Source organism: Homo sapiens, chromosome 1, assembly GCF_000001405.40.
Source record: "Homo sapiens chromosome 1, GRCh38.p14 Primary Assembly".
NCBI lineage: Eukaryota > Metazoa > Chordata > Mammalia > Primates > Hominidae > Homo > Homo sapiens.
Genome location: NC_000001.11, coordinates 9,944,289 through 9,961,200, shown reverse-complemented (window position 1 = coordinate 9,961,200; position 16,912 = coordinate 9,944,289). Strand labels below are relative to the sequence as shown.

The 16,912-nt window shown below is 45.3% G+C and overlaps 1 protein-coding gene and 2 pseudogenes across 11 annotated transcripts in view; 1 reads left to right on the top strand and 2 right to left on the bottom strand.

Moving 5' to 3' along the window:
• NMNAT1 (nicotinamide nucleotide adenylyltransferase 1) overlaps positions 1–16,912 on the bottom strand; it is a 53,970-nt gene that overhangs the window by 35,692 nt on the left and 1,366 nt on the right. For 2 of the 10 annotated variants that reach the window (XM_047428076.1, XM_047428080.1), the window contains exon 1: positions 13,694–15,188. The exons of the other annotated variants lie outside the window; for them this stretch is intronic. The gene's annotated coding sequence lies outside the window, so the exon portion shown is untranslated. Of the gene's footprint in view, positions 1–13,693; positions 15,189–16,912 lie in introns of those variants that run through there. 10 annotated transcript variants of the gene reach the window in all.
• TMEM274P (transmembrane protein 274, pseudogene) lies at positions 414–10,629 on the top strand (annotated as a pseudogene). The gene is made up of 5 exons (NR_158969.1): positions 414–487; positions 5,286–5,380; positions 8,732–8,862; positions 9,904–9,970; positions 10,553–10,629. The product of NR_158969.1 is annotated as a transmembrane protein 274, pseudogene (transcript).
• On the bottom strand, positions 13,639–13,883 carry RN7SKP269 (RN7SK pseudogene 269; annotated as a pseudogene).

The following is a 16,912-nucleotide window of genomic DNA, read 5'->3' as shown; positions in this document are numbered from 1 at the left end:
GGTTTCCAGGTGATGCCCAAGGGATGTGGAAGGGCTGGAGGAAGCTGATCTCTCAGCATAAAGGAAGCTGTCTTTCTCCCTTGTTACATCTATAACTTGTCTCAAATATCCAGCTCACAGTTCCACTAACTGTTAACAAAGCCAACTCGAGCTCACACCAGACTCTAAACCTTCAGAGCCACACAAGAGTTAAGGTTACAGTGAGCTCCTATTGCTGCCAAAAGTGGGTTTTAAAGAACTAGGGTCTGTCCCTTTCCTGAAGAGTACTTCCTCCATATCATTGCAGGGCACATGCGCATGCGTATAGGGGGGCTGTGGCCGATTGATGAATGGGTGCAGCAGTTTGGAAACTCTAACGGGACTGACCTGGGTCCTCCTTGTCTTGCTCCAGGTGCTCTGGGCCCAGTGTCACCATGATTCACTTTTGTTTGGCCCACACGGCCTATCGCTTGCACTGCTGGCTGCTGAGAACTCACCAGCTCAGGCTGTAAGTGTCCCTCCTCAGCTCACTGTGACAATAAGGAGTTCATTTCTTTCTCTGGCAGTCTTGAGGCTTAAAATTTACTTTTAATTTTAAAATTACTAATCTTGGGCTGGGTACAGTGGCACGTGGCTGTAGTCCCAGCCACTCGGGAGGCTGAAATTGAGCCACTGCGTTTTGGCCTGGGTAGTTACTGATCTTTATTATTATTATTATTTTTGGTAGAGATGGGGTCTCGCTGTGTTGCCCAGGCTGGTGTCAAACTCCTGGCCTCAAGTGATCCTCCCACCTTGGCCTCCCACGGTGCTGGGATTAGAGGCATGAGCCACCACACCTGGCCAAAATAACTGATCTTTATGTTTTAAAAACACTGAGATGTAAATATTAACATAACATTAAGCCAGGGTTTTTTTGTTTTTGTTTTTGTTTTTTTTAGAGATAGGGTATCGCTCTGTTGCCTAGGCTGCAGTACAGTGGCACAATCATTGCTCACTGCAGCCTTCAAATCCCAGGCTCAAGAGATCCTCCCACCTCAGCCTGCCAAGTAGCTAGTACTACAAGCACACGCCATCACTCCTGGCTAAAAAGTCAGTTTTTTAAAAATCAACTTTTCGAAAACAATAGTAATTCTGTTTGGCTTTCCCTATCGCATATTTCAGGATGCTCAGTATTAAACCTGTGTTGGCTAAGAGTTAAGTAACATGGCTGACCTCACCACCTCTCAGGATTTACACCTCTAAAAGGGTGCTATTCCTTTCAAAACAATAACTTTAAGCATGTAGCTATGTTCTTGTTCCAACAATGCTGCCATTAAATACTCTTGGGGGTATATTTTGAAATTGCATATTCTTTTGAGTACCTTCACTGGGGATAAATCTGTCTTTGGAGGGTATATTTGATTTCTGTGAATCCCCTAAAGTTATTCAGTGCTAAACCCAATTAATAAAATAATCAAGGTGAATTTAATAGTTTACAGTGAAGAAGGGAGTTAGAATGATTAGTTAATGGTGAGATTTTCTTTCTTTTCTTTTTTTGGTGGGGGGACAGAGTCTCGTTGTCGCCAGGCTGGAGTGCAGTGGCGTGCAATCTTGGCTCACTGCAACCTCCACCTCCCAGGTTCAAGCCATTCTCCTGCCTCAGCCTCCTGAGTAGCTGGGATTACAGGCGCATGCCACCACGCCCAGCTAATTTTTGTATTTTTAGTAGAGATGGGGTTTCACCATATTGGTCATGCTGGTCTTGAACTCCTGACCTCATGATCTGCCTACTTTGGCCTCCCAAAGTGCTAGGATTATAGGCGTGAGTCACCGCACCCGGCCTCTTTTTTTTTTTTTTTTTTTTTTTTTCCAAGATGGAGTTTCACTCTTGTCCCCTGGCTGTAGTGCAATGGCACGATCTCAGCTCACTGCAACCTCTGCCTCCCGGGTTCAAGCGATTCTTCTGCTTCAGCCTCCTGAGTAGCTGGGATTACAGGCGCCCGCCACCACACCCAGCTAATTTTTGTATTTTTAGTAGAGATGGGGTTTCAGTATGCTGGCCAGGCTGGTCTCAAACTCCCGATCTCAGGTGATCCACCTGCCTCGGCTTCCCAAAGTGCTGGGATTACAGGCTTAAGCCACTGTGCCCGACCAAGATTTTCTTACATGCCATGGAAACTACGTACACGTAATCTCAAAAGAATTTCAAAAATGCTTTGAGCAGTAACAATTTTCATTTGCTTGTGCAAGTTGTGGTAGGTAGATTAACTCTCAGTTTGTCAGTTAACAGTCAGTTTCCTCATTTAAAAAAATGGAGAACCACAGTCCTATGTCATAGGATTTTGTGCATATTAAATTAGATAATGCATGTAAAATGTTTGACACATTTGTCTACCAATTATGAATATTGATAACTTAGTATTACTTGCAGGTTGTTTTACATTAATTTACAGTCATGATAAAGGAACCAAGGTTCTAAAGATTCCCTAAAGATCAGTATCAACAGGCTGGGAGCAGTGGCTCACACCTCTAATCCCAGTACTTTGGGAGACAGAGGTGGGCGGATCACGAGGTCAGGAATTCAAGACCAACCTGATCAGCATGGTGAAACCCCATCTCTACTAAAAATACAAAAATTAGTCGGGCATGGTGGTGTGCTTCTGTAGTCCCAGATACTCAGGAGGCTGAGGCAGGAGAATTGCTTGAACCCAGGAGGCAGAGGTTGCAGTGAGCTGAGATCACACCACTGCACTCCAGCCTGGGTGACAGAGCAAGACTCTGTCTCAAAAAAAAAAAAAACAAAACAAAACAAAAAATCAGTATCAACAAAGCCTGCTAAATAATGGGAGAACAATAAGTAGTAGCTATTTTAATATTCTTATTGAAGTATTATTAGATAGAATTTTATTAGAATGCAATGGATCTCAATTCAATCAGAAACACCATCTCTACTAAAAACACAAAATATCATTATGTTTAAAACTTTATCTCTGTAGTTAAATGTAACATTATCACCAAACAGAACCTGAATTTGTTTTCTGGAAGCTATTTCATCACTAAACGAGTAATGTAAAATGTTAATTGCAGCCTGCCCCATGTTTTCTGCCCCTATTACCAAGGGCAATCACCTACTTCACTTCTTTGAAAAGCCAAAAATCTCAATATAGTGAAGATAGCTGTGGGTAAACTGAGCTTAACTTTTAATCCACACTTACTTCTTCTGGTATAGAAAGCCATTAAATAGGAGACAATGAGGGGACCAATGTCTCAACTTACAGATTCCCTGGAGACCAGTCCCAACGGTCTAGCGTTAGCTTATGTCTGCAGGGCTGAGGGTGACAGGCACGCCCGACCTGATTATTACTTAATATGTTCTTTCAGATTCTGTCTTCGAAATTATTCTTAGCGGAAACAGTCTGTTAATAACTTTAATTCTAAAAAAAAATCTGAAAACTGAGAATCTACTTAAGCGAGGGGGAGTGACAGGAAGCTGCAACACTCCTTGTAATTAGCCGAACTCAAACTCACCAGCTTCTATTACAGAAAGTCTGTGTAAAATAAGTCATTTTTCCTTACTAGAAGTCAGAATTCCCATGAAATAGTTTTTCACCAAAATCGCAAATTAACGTGAATTTAAAAACTGGTAAATAAGGGCTGGGCACGGTGGCTCACACCTGTAATCCCAGCACTTTGGGAAGCCGAGGCGTGGATCACGAGGTCAATAGTTCGAGACCAGCCTGGCCAACATGGTGAAGCCCACTCTCGCGTGGTGGCGCATGCCTGTAATCCAGCTACTCGGGAGGCTCAGGAAGGAGAATTGCTTGAACCCGGGAGGTGGAGGTTACAGTGAGCCAAGATCGCGGCACTGCAAGAAACAGAGTGAGACTGCGTCTCAAAAAAAAAATGGTAAACAAGACTGGGCACGGTGGCTCACACCTGTAATCCCAGCACTTTGGGAGGCTGAGGTGGGCGGATCACCTGAGGTTGGGAGTGTGAGACCAGCCTGACCAACATGGAGAAACCCTGTCTGTACTAAAAATACAAAATTAGCCTGACATGCTGGTACATTCCTGTAATCCCAGCTACTCAGGAGGCTGAGGCAGGGGAATTGCTTGAACCTGGGAGGCAGAGGTTGCAGTGAGTTGATATCCCACCATTGAACTCCAGCCTGGGTGACAAGAGCGAAACTCCACCTCAAAAATAAAAATAAAAAGGCCAGATGCAATGGCTCATGCCTGTAATCTTAGCATTTTGGGAGGCCGAGGCGGGTGGATCACAAGATCAGGAGTTTGAGACCAGCATGACCAACATGGTGAAACCCCATCTCAACTAAAAATACAAAAATTATCCAGGCATGGTGGCATGTGCCTGCAATCCTAGATACTGAGGAGGCTGAGGCAGGAGAATCGCTTGAACCTCGGAGGTGGAGGTTGCAGTGAGCCAAGATCACACCATTACATTCCAGCCTGGGTGACAGAGCGAGACTCTGTCTCAAAAAAAAAAAAAAAAAAGGTAAACAAGGCCAGGATCAGTGGCTCATGCCTGTAATCCAAGCACTTTGGGAGGCCAAGGTGGGCGGATCACCTGAGGTCAGGAGTTCGAGACCAGCTTGGACAACATGATGAAACCCCATCTCTACTAAAAATGCAAAATATTAGCCAGGTGTGGTGGCACACGCCTGTAATCCTAGCTACTCAGGAAGCTGAGGCATGAGAATCGCTTGAACCCAGGAGGTGGAGGTTGCAGTGAGCTGAGATCATACAACTGCACTCCAGCTTCAGTGACAGAACAAGACTCTGTCTCAAAAAAAAAAAAAAAAAAAGGTAGACCAATCACTTGAGGTCAGGGGTTCGAGATCAGCATGGCCAACATGATGAAACCCCATCTCTACCAAAAAATACAAAAGCTAGCCGGGTGTGGTGGCACGTGCCTGTAATCCCAGCTACTGGGAAGGCAGAGGCCCAAGAATTGCCTGAACCTGGGAGGCAGAGGTTGCAGTGAGCAGAGATCGCACCACTGCAGTCCAGCCTGGGTGACAAAGTAAAACTCTGTCTCAAAAAAAAAAAAAAAAAGAAAAGAAACATGGTAAACGTTATTTATTTACCAGTGATGACACTAATAACTCTTACTATTATTTATGGACTATTTTGTAGCATTTATTTACAGTCATGGTAAAGGAACCAAGGTTCTCAAGAGAAGTGAGTTGCCTACAGCCAAGATGAACCCAGTGCCAGAATAAGAATTAGAGTTCAAGGATTAGTGCCTTCTGGTGTTACGCGTATACCATAGATTTCCTGTAATAAGTAATAAATTAATGTATCACCCAGTTTATTGACTTTTAGGCCCAGATCTTCCCAATATTGCAGCCAATCTCTCCTGTACAACCTGGTTAGTAATACCATCTTTACCTTCTTCACAATTGGTAAGTGTGTAGTTATCCGTCAAGCATTTATTAAGTATCTACTACAAATAGTAGCCAGACACTGCTACAACAAAAATTGGTAGGACAGAGCTCTCTGCTCTTCAGGAACTCATAGACTAAAATTAAAAAAACAACTCACATCTAAAATTCAGGTGAAGGGAATCTTTAAAAACTTCCTAAGTATCTCTTTTAGTTGTTTTTGCTTTTTGTTTTTTGAGATGGAGTTTCACTCTTTTTGCCCAGGCTGGAGGGCAATGGTGCAATCTCGGCTCACTGCAACCTCTGCCTCCCAAGTTCAAGTGATTCTCCTGCCTCAGCCTCCCTAGTAGCTGCAATTACAGGCATGCGCCACCACACCCAGCTAATTTTGTATTTTTAGTAGAGAAGGGGTTTCTTTCTTTTTTTTTTTTTTTTTTTGAGACAAAGTCTCGCTCTTGTCCCCAGGCTGGAGTGCAATGGCGCGATCCCAGCTCACTGCAACCTCCGCCTCCCGGGTTCAAGCGATTCTCCTGCCTCAGCCTCCCGAGTAGCTGGGATTACAGGTGCATACCACCACGCCCAGCTAATTTTTTGTATTTTAAGTAGAGATGAGGTTTCACCATGTTGGCCAGGCTGGTCTCAAACTCCTGACCTCAGGTGATCCACCAGCCTCAGCCTTCCAAAGTGCTGGGATTACAGGCGTGAGCCACCGCGCCCAGCTTAGAGATGGGGTTTCACCATGTTGGTCAGGCTGGTCTCAAAGTCCTGACCTCAGGTGATCCACCTGCCTCAGCCTCCCAAAGTGCTGGGATTACAGGCGTGAGCCAGCGTGCCTGGCCTCTCTTTTAGTTGTTCTATAATTTGAGTACGGAACCAAATTAAGTTAAACATAAATTCCTTTTTTTTTTTTTTGAGATGGAGTCTTGCTCTGTTGCCAGGCTGGAGTGCAGTGGTGTGATCTCGGCTCACTGCAACCTCCGCCTCCTGGGTTCAAGCGATTCTCGTGCCTCAGCCTCCTGAGTAGCTGGGATTACAGGCACGCGCCACCACACGAACCTAATGTTTGTATTTTTAGTAGAGATGGGGTGTCACCATGTTGGCCAGGATGGTCTCAATCTCCTGACCTTGTGATCCACCCACCTCAGACTCCCAAAGTGCTGGAATTACAGGCATGAGCCACCATGCCTGGCCCAAATTCCTTCTGCTATAAAATTCTTTAGTGTTATAATATTAAAGTATCGGGTTTTTCATTCAATAAATAGTCATTGATCAAGAGATGATTCTGCGTAGAAAAACAAGGACAATGGCAACTTGAAGTCAAAAAGTGATACAGGGCTGGGTCCAGTGGCTCATGCCTGTAACCCCAACACTTTGAGGCTGAGGTGGGAGGATCGTGTGAAGTCAGGAGTTCAAGACCAGCCTGGGCAACATGGTGAGACATCATCTCTACAAAAAATAGAAGAAGTTAGCTGGGCATGGTGTCATGCACCTGTAGTCCCTGCTACTTGGGAGGTTGAAGTAAGAGGGTCACTAAAGCCCAGGAGGTGGAGGGTGCAGTGAGTCATGTCATTGCACTCCAGCCTGGGTGACAGAGGGAGGCCCTATCTCCAAAAAAAAAGGACACAGAGTTGGTCTCTATTCTCAACATTCTGAAATGTGGAGAAGTTTAAGAAATATTTTAGCTAATCTATCTTAATTATATTTTCCTTTGAATGTGCTTTTAAGAGTGATGTATGGGCCGGGTGCGGTGGCTCATGCCTGTAATCCCAGCACTTTGGGAGGCCGAGGCAGGTGGATCACCTGAGATCAGGAGTTCAAGACCAGCCTGGCCAACATGGCAAAACCCCTTCTCTACTAAAAATACAAAAATTAGCTGGGCATGATGGCACGTGCCTGTAGTCCCAGCTACGATGGGGACTGTGGCAGGAGGATCGCTTGAACCTGGGAGGCGGAGGTTGCAGTGAGCCAAGATCGTGCCACTGCACTCCAGCCTGGGCAAGAGAGCAAGACTCTGTCTCAAAAAAAAAAAAAAAAAAAAAAAAAAGAGTGATATATGATTTCAGCAAAAACTATGTCCGAATTTTTTAAAATGAAAAAATAGGGCCGGGTGTGGTGGCTCATGCCTGCAATCCCAGCACTTTGGGAGGCCAAGACAGATGGATCACCTGAGGTCACGAGTTTGAGACCAGCCTGGCCAACATGGTGAAACTCTGTCTCTACTAAAAATACAAAAATTAGCTGAGCGTGGTGGCACACGCCTGTAGTCCCAGCTACTTGGGAGGCTGAGGCAGGAGAATCACTTGAACCCGGGAGGCAGAGGTTGCAGTCAGCCGAGATCATGCCACTGCATTCTAGCCTGGCAACAGAGTGAGACTCCGTCTCAAAAAAAAAAACAAAATTAGCTGGGTGTGGTGGTGCAGGCCTGTAATCCCAGCTACTCAGGAGGCTGGAGCAGGAGAATCACTTGAGCCTGGGAGGCAGAGGATGCAGTGAGCTGAGATGGCGCCACTGTACTCCAGCCTGGCAACAGAGCAAGACTCCGTCTCAAAAAAAAAAAAAAAAAGCCCGCGCACAGTGGCTCACACCTGTAATCCCATTTTGGGAGGCTGAGGTGGGTGGATCACAAGGACAGGAGATCGAGACCATCCTGGATAATGCAGTGAAACCCCGTCTCTACTAAAAATACAAAAAAAATTAGCCAGGCGTGGTGGCGGGCACCTGTAGTTCCAGCTACTCGGGAGGCTGAGGCCGGAGAATTGCTTGAACCTAGGAGGCAGAGGTTGCAGTGAGTCAAGATCACGTCACTGCACTTCCACCTGGGCGACAGAGCAAGACTCCGTCTCAAAAAAAAAAAACATGCATACAATCTATATCAAAGGAAAAATTAGTTTGCCCAGACTGGACATTTCTGTTCCACAGCAGGAAGGGAAGGAAACAAATTGCATTTAGGTTTGCATTCAAGAATCTGTTTCTAGCCGAGCGTGGTGGCTCAAATATGTTTCTAGCCGAGCGTGGTGGCTCACGCCTATAATCCCAGCACTTTGGGAGGCCAAGGTGGGCAGATCACCTGAGGTCAGGAGTTCGAGACCAGCCTGGCCAACATGGTGAAACCCTGTCTCTACTAAAAATACAAAAAATTACCCAGAAGTGGTGGTGCACACCTATAATCCCACCTACTAGGGAGGCTGAGGCAGGAGAATCACTTGAACCCAGGAGGCAGAGGTCACCGTGAGCTGAGATTGTGCCACTGCACTCCAGCCTGGGTGACAGAGTGAGACTCTGTCTTAAGAAAAAAAAACAAAAAAACAAAGAATATGTTTCTTTCTGAGATGATTAAACCTAAAAACTGATGCTGTTCCTCTGTCTTTTTAGGTTTTACTGTGCAGTTTGTTCAGATGGAGCCATTGCCACGGGCACTGAAGTGGATGTCTTCTGCATTTGGTGTGGGATCCTTCAGTTAAGGAGTCTGCACTATGGTGTTAACAGTTTTGGCAACAGACTGTGTATGTTTTTAAACAATGAATTTCTTTTTTTTTCTTTGAGACAGAGTCTCACTCTGTCACCCCAGCTGGAGTGCAGTGGCGCAATCTGTGCTTACTGCAAGCTCCGCCTCCCAGGTTCACGCCATTCTCCCGCCTCAGCCTCCCGAGTAGCTAGGACTACAGGTGCCCGCCACCATGCCCGGCTAATTTTTTGTATTTTTTTTTAGTAGAGATGGGGTTTCACTGTGTTAGCCAGGATGGTCTGGATCTCCCGACCTCGTGATCCACCCACCTCGGCCTCCCAAAGTGCTGGGATTACAGGCGTGAGCCATAAACAAAGAATTTCTAAAGGCTTATCTTAATCTGAAAGTTTGGCTGTAAATAATATGTCTTCAATATTTATTTTCTACTGACACCAAAAGAAGAGATATGTGGAGATGGAATACCTGATTAGGCACATGTCACAGTTAAAACATTTCACTGGGGAAAGTTTAAAAATTCTACAAGAGATTTTTGTTTTTGTAGGTGAATTCTACTTTACTAGAGCTTCGAAAAGTAGTTAAGATATTAATCAACAGTGAAACAGGCCGGGCACAGTGGCTCACGCCTCTAATCCCAGTACTTTGGAAGGCTGAGGCAGGCAGATCGATTGAGCCCAGGAGATGAAGACCAGCATAGGCAATGTGGAGAAACCCCATCTCTACAAAAATTACAAAAATTAGCTGGACCTGGTGGCACGTGCCTGTAGTCCCAGCTACTTGGGAGGCTGAGGCAGGAGGATCCCGTGAACCCAGGAAGTCAAGGCTCCAGTGAGCCATGCTCACACCACTGCACTTTGGCCTGGATGACAAAGCAACATCTTGCCTCAAAACAAACAAACAACAACAACAACAACAAAAAAAAACTGAAGCTGTTGGATTGGGTTTGGCACAGTATACAGCAAGACTTCTATTTCTTGCTAAATTGGCACCTTCATTTAAATCCTTGTGGCAAAACATTTTTAACACATTCTGATTAAAAGACAAAGTATTCCTCATAGCACCTTTTCTCTCTCAAATGTAGGAAACAACAACCCCTGAACTTTACTACTTGTCTGTGCTCCTGTCGGTGAGCAGCTTAACTTCTACAGGTAAGCAAGAAAACTTCCCAAGTAACCAATCCTTGTCAAAGGCTTACCAGTCCTTCGAGGCAAGTAACTACTCAACCAGCACTGTGACTGTGATGTTGCAAGGAGAATATTAAGCTCTAGTTCCTCTTTTTTTTTTTTTTTTGAAACAGAGTCTCACTTTGTTGCTTAAGCTGGAGTGCAGTGGCGTGATCTTGGCTCACTGCAACCTCCTCCTCCTGGATTAAAGCAATTCTTCTGCCTCAGCCTCCCCAGTAGCTGGAATTAAAGGTGTGTGCCACTATGCCTGGATAATTTTGGTATTTTTAGTAGAGATGGGGTTTCGCCATGTTGGCCAGGCTAGTCTTGAACTCCTGACCTCAACTGATCCACCCGTCTCAGCCTCCCAAAGTGCTGGGATTATAGCTGTGAACCACTGTGCCCACACCCTAGTTCCTCTTAAAGCAAGAGATCCAAGAAGCTAAGAAGTATGAAAAGCAAAGCAAAGAAAACGGGGGGAGGGGAGGGTTAGGATGGCATATGAAAAGCCATCCTTCTCACGTTACTTCCACTGCATTTAATGAGATCCTATTCTTTATCCTGTAGTGCTTTTGTCAGGCCTGGGGCTGATCTGGCGGGCCAGGGTGACCTGTCGAAGGCCAGATGCTAACCCAACAGTCTGAGCCATCTGGGTCCTGTTTTTCCTGTCTGAGATACTCGTCTCTACCAGGCTGGGCCTGTCCCAGCAGCACTGCCACCTATCGGCCATCACACGACCATCTCCTATCCTGCTATTTCAGCTGAACAGCAGGGCCAATAACAGGAAGCATGTCAAAATCAGTCATTTAGTAGAAAACTGCATTATGCCAGGCGTGGTGGTTCATGCCTATAATCTCAACACTTTGGGAGGCCAAGGCGGGCGGATCACTTGAGGTCAGGAGTTCGAGATCAGCCTGACCAACATGTCAAAACCCTGTCACTACTAAAAATACAAAAATTAGCCGGGCATGGTTGCAGGTGCCTGTAATCCCACCTACTTGGGAGGCTGAGGCAGGAGAATCACTTGAACCCGGGAGGCAGAGGTTGTAGTGAGCCGAGATTGCGTCACTGCCCTCCAGCCTGGGTGACAGAGCGAGACTCTGTCTCAAAAGAAAGAAAAAGAAAGCTGCATTTAAGTATTAATGAGCACTCACTGACAATGGATAAAAAGAAACAGTTCCGCTGAAATCACAGGACTGACATCATAACCCAATTCACCCCAAATAAAGATCTCCTATCAAATACTTTCACAATGATTATTGTGATTTTCTAAACCTCATTTTTTGTTCAATGAAGTTAAGTGGCATCAGCTGGGAGACTGCTATAGAAATAAGTGCTGAAAAAGAGGAAGGAAAATAGAAATCTTAGTAATGAACAAAGGTTTAGTTTCAAAAGACCCCAGTAATTCAGATTGTGTATTTAAACAAGGTCAATTTATTGCTTCTTTAAGAATGTAGTGGGGCCGGACACGGTGGCTCATGCCTGTAATCCCAGCACTTTGAGAGGCCGAGGTGGGCGAATCACTTGAAGTCAGGAGTTTGAGACTAGCCTTGCCAACATGGTGAAACTCCGTCTCCACTAAAAAAAACAAAAAAATTATATATATACACATACATATATATATATACACACACAAAAATTAGCTGGGCCTCTTGGTGTGTACCTATAATCCTAGCTACTCGGGAGGCTGAGGCAGGAGAATCGCTTGAACCCAGGAGGTGGAGGTTGCAGTGAGCAAAGATTGCACCACTGCACTCCAGCCTGGGTGACAGAGTGAAACTCCATCTCAAAAAAAAAAAAAAAAAGCAGTGGAAGATTTTAGAGTAAAAATAACCACAACCTCCCCCTTATAGATTATAACAATCTTCTGCATCATGACAGCTAATTGTTTTCTAGAGAAAATAGCTAAGTGACCTGCATTGTGTTTTGTCTTTCTCTTTTTTTTTTTTGAGACAGAGTCCTGGTCTGTTGCCCAGGCCGGAGTGCAGTGGTGTGATTTCGGCTCGCTGAAATCTCCGCCTCCAGGGTTCAAGCGATTCTGCCTCAGCCTCCCACGTAGCTGGGATTACAGGTGCCTGCCACCATGCCCGGCTAATTTTTGTATTTTTAGTAGAGATGGGGTTTCACTATGTTGGTCAGGCTGCTCTTGAACACCTGACGTCAGGTGATCCACCTGCCTCGGCCTCCCAAAGTGCTGGGATTACAGGCGTGAGCCACCATGGCCAGCCGTGTTTTGTCTTTTTACTTCAGTGTATATTTAACAATTCCGGGCCAGACACAGTGGCTGACGCCTGTAATCCCAGCATTTTGGGAGGCCAGGTGGGTGAATCACCTGAGGTCAGGAGTTCGAGACCAGCCTGGCCAACATGGTGAAACCCCGTCTCTACTAAAAATACAAAAAATTAGCCAGGCATGGTGGCGGGTGCCTGTACCAGCTACTTAGGAGGCTGAGGCAGGAGAATCACATGAACCCAGGAGGCGGAGGTTGCAGTGAGCTGAGATGGGGCCATTGCACTCCAGCCTAGGCAACAAGAGTAAAACTCTGTCTCAAAAAAAAAAAAAAATTCTGAAGTATTTTTGTTAGGGACTAGTTACTCACAAATGGTCCCAATGTCATTAAGGACTGGATACCACTTCATTTTGAGACAGGGTCTCGCTCTATCACCCAGGCTGGAATACAATGGCACAGTCACTGCAACCTCCACCTCCCGGACTCAAGCCATCCTCCCACCTCAGCCCTTACCCCAAGTAGCTGGGACTACAGGTATGCCCCACCAGACCTGGCTACTCTTTTGTATTTTTTTGTAGAGATAAGGTTTCACTATATTGCCCAGACTGGTCTCGAACTCCTGGGCTCAAGCAATCCGCCCACCTTAACCTCCCAAAGTGTTGGGATTACGAGCATGAGCCACCTCACCTGGCCGACAACTCCATTTCTTGAGAAAAAGAACAGTACTAATGGGCAAGAAGAACGTATTCAGTATAAAATCTCCCAAAGTATCTCTGACAGGCACAGCACCTGAACACATGGAAATGACTGTTCATCTGTTCTCATCTGGAGAGGTTACCTAATATATACCCACTATCCCTTGACGCCACCAACATTTTCGGACCACCTTCCACATCCCAGACACAGCACTAAGTTAGGAATTAGAAATGCGAGCAATCACACAATAAGAATGAAATTCCTTTGAAGTAATTATATTACCATGATTAACAGAAATTATTTAGAAACAACACATTCTCTAGACCTCATCAACCACTGCAGGGCTTTGAGCAGAGGAGTGACATGATCTGACATATTTTTAAGGATCTCTCTAGCAGTTGAAGCTGAAAACAGAATGTAGGGAGAGGCAAGGGTACAAGTGAAGACATAAGATGGGAGGCTACTGCAATAATCCAGGTGACAGGTGATGCTGACCTGGCCCTGATGGTGGTAGCAAAGTGATAAGATGTCACTCAATTCTGGGTGTATTTGGAACATACAGCCAATGTGATTTGCAATGGATGGGATGTGGGCTGTGAAAGAAAGAAAAGTCAAGCATGACTCCAAAAGTTTTTGGCCTAAGCAGCTAAAAGAACAGTATTACCTTTAATTGAGAAGAGAATGATAGTGAAGCATGATGGCGTGTGCCTGTAATCCTAGCTACCTGGGACCTTGAGAGCTTGTTTGGAGGTTCTAGCAGGGGAACGCAGCTACTTATATACCCTTGACCGAAGATTAGTCCTCCTCTATTGGGGATGGTCGTTCTCTTCGACTTGAGTGTGCAGCTTCGGGAGGGATATACATGGAGCAGTGAGGGAGGAAGGAGACACCGGCCTAGCCAGCCAGATCAGCCGGATCAACCCTGGTGATCAACGGGGTGAGAGATGTCACAGCCAGGTTGCCCTCACATCCTACTTGGGAGGCGGAGGTGGGAGGATCACCTAAGTCTAGGAGTTCAAGGCTGCAGTGAACCATGATCACGCCATTGCACTCCAGCCTGGGCGACACAGCAAGACCCTGTCTCCAAAAAAAAGAGAAGAGAAAGATGTCTATGGAGTAGGCTTGAGGGGACTATCAGGAGTTCAGTTTACAGAGAAGTGAAGTTTGAGACATCTATTATATATCCAAGTGGTGACAATAAGTAGGCAAGTGGAGAACAAAGCCAAGTTCAGGGGAGAGGTACAGACATACAACAGACTAGAGATTTGGATGTATCTGCATATAGATGGTGTATTTGTCTGCTTGGGCTGTCATACTAAAATACCACAGACTGGGTGACTTAAACAACAGAAATTTACTTTGTCACCATTCTGGAGACTAGAAGCCCAAGATCAAGGTTTTGGCCAATTTGGTCTCTGGTGGCAGCTCTGTTCCTGTCTTGTACATGGCCACCTTCTTGCTAGTCCTCACATAATCTTTCTTCAGTATGTAAGGGTAAGGGGCAAGCTCTCCATTCACTCTTCTGATAAGGACACTAGTCCTATCGGATCAGGGCCCCACACTTATGACCTCATTTAACCTTAATTATTTCCTTACTCCAAATACAACCACACCTAGAGTGACATCTTTGATTCTAAAAGTTCATGTTCTCACCCATTATGCAAGACTTACAATGGTACAAGCTATTTAAGGCAGACATTTAAAAGAGGCCCAAGTGTTCAGAGAGCCTTTGGCTCCTGGTACTTCTTGTTAGCCACTCAAGTTTCATCTGTCCCAGCATTTTCCCTACCTAGTTGGAGCAACTTGCGTTCTCTGGGCTCCCATCCCAAGACCAAGCTGAAGTGTCCTCAACTCCTCCCGCTGCCAAGGAGCATTTATCTGGTTTCCCAGTGACTCCCAGTCTGGAGGTTACTTTCCCCAGTGCTGTCTCCCATGGTTTCCTACCTAACATCTTATTTCTCTTTCTCCAGTTTCTTCTCTGCCTTCTGTCTGAAGGCTTGTATTCTATTTTTGTTTCAGAATGCATTTCTCTTATGCATTAGAAATGTTTTCATTATCCATTAACTCTAAACAAGAACCTAAAGGCATATAAAAAAACCCTTAGCATAGAACTGCTGAATGACTAAGTCACAGAGAAGAAAAGGCAAATACCTCCACTGCTTCGAAGACTGCACACGCTAAAACTACACAAATGCCAGAACAGAACATTGGATTATCATTATCAAAATTAGGGGAAGGCTGGGTGGGGTGGCTCATGCCTGTAATTCCGGCACTTTGCGGGGCCAAGGTGGGAGGATTACTTGAGCCCAGGAGTTTGAAACCAGCCTGGGCAACATGACAAAACCTCATCTCTACAAAAAATACAAAAACTAGCCGGATGTGGTGGCATGCACCTGAAGTCCCAGCTACTAGGGAGGCTGAGGTGCAAGGATCACTTGAGCCTGAGAGATTAAGGCTGCAGTGAGCCGTGCTCGTGTCACTGTACTCCAGTCTGGGTGACAGGGCAAACAAAAACAAAAATTAAAAAATCAGGGAAAGTACACTGTGAACAAATGTTTATTCAGCAAATTTTTCAAATTATTATTATTATTTTTTTGAGACCGAGTCTCACCCTGTAGCCCAGGCTGAAGAGCACGATCTCGGCTCACTGCAACCTCCGCCTGCCGGGTTCAAGCAATTCTCCTGCCTCAGCCTCCCGAGTAGCTGGAACTACAGGCATACGCCACCATGCACAGCTAATTTTTTGTATTTTTAGTAGAGACAGGGTTTCACCATAGGGGCCAGGCTGGTCTCAAACTCCTGACCTCGTGATCCGCCCACCTCGGCTTCCCAAAGTCCTGGGATTACAGGTGTGAGCCACTACACCCAGCTCAAATAATTTTTTTAAAGTATATTTTCCAGTTTTGTTTTGTATGGCACTGACTCTGTCACTGTGAATTCCATTTTACCCAAAACATTGACACTTCCACACATATTTATGAATCAAAATTGAAAGATAATTGCATTAATAGGTACTTTTATTTTTTTCTTCTTTTGTTTTGTTTTGTTTTGTTTTTTTAAGACGGAGTTGCTCTGTCACCCAGGCTGCAGTGCAGCGTCGTGATCTTGGCTCACTGCAGCATTCACCTCCTGAGTTCAAGCGATTCTCATGCCTCAGCCTCCTGAGTAGCTAAGATTACAGGCATGGACCACCACGCCTGGTTAATTTTTGTATTTTTAGTAGAGATGGGGTTTCACCATGTTGGCCGGGCTGGTTTTGAATTCCTGACCTTAAGTGATCTGCCCGCCTTGGCCTCCCAAAGTGCTGGGATTACAGGCATGAGCCACTGCACCCGGCCGACTTTTGCAAAGGAAATTCTTTGAATCTGAAGTGTCTTGCAAGGTAGAGGCTATTGCAACCATTTCAACTAGTGTGTCAACAGTCTTCTCTAAGGTGGGCTAGAAAAATGGTTTCATATTCAAATTGTAACTCTGAAAAACAACTGATGGTAATAAAGAGATTCCATAATCAGACAGAACTAAGTGAAACAATTAGTTTTGGTAGAGTTCTGTGGTAATCATAGTTAGAAGTTTATCCTGGGTAGCTGAAATATAACTAACTTCAGACTCCAGGCCTGTCGGTGGCTTGTGCCAATCACCACAACACTTTGAGGGGCCAAGGCCAGAGGATCGCTTGAGCCCAGGAGTTCAAGGCTGCAGTGAGCTATGATCACACCACTGCACTCCAGCCTGGGCAACACAGCTCTTGTTTTTTAACAAGACATTGTTACTTAAAAAAAAACTGCCCTGATGAAACAATTCTACCATGAACACTGATGTTGTTCTGTGGACTACTTCAGGAAGATGGACTAAGAACATCATTAAATAGTTCCAACCAGTTTCTGGGTAATTTTATTTTTAATTTTTTGTTATGAGGGTCTTGCTATGTTGCCCAGCCTGGGCTCAAATGATCCTCCCACCGCGGGCTCTCAAAGTGCTGGGTTTACAGGTGTCACACCGCG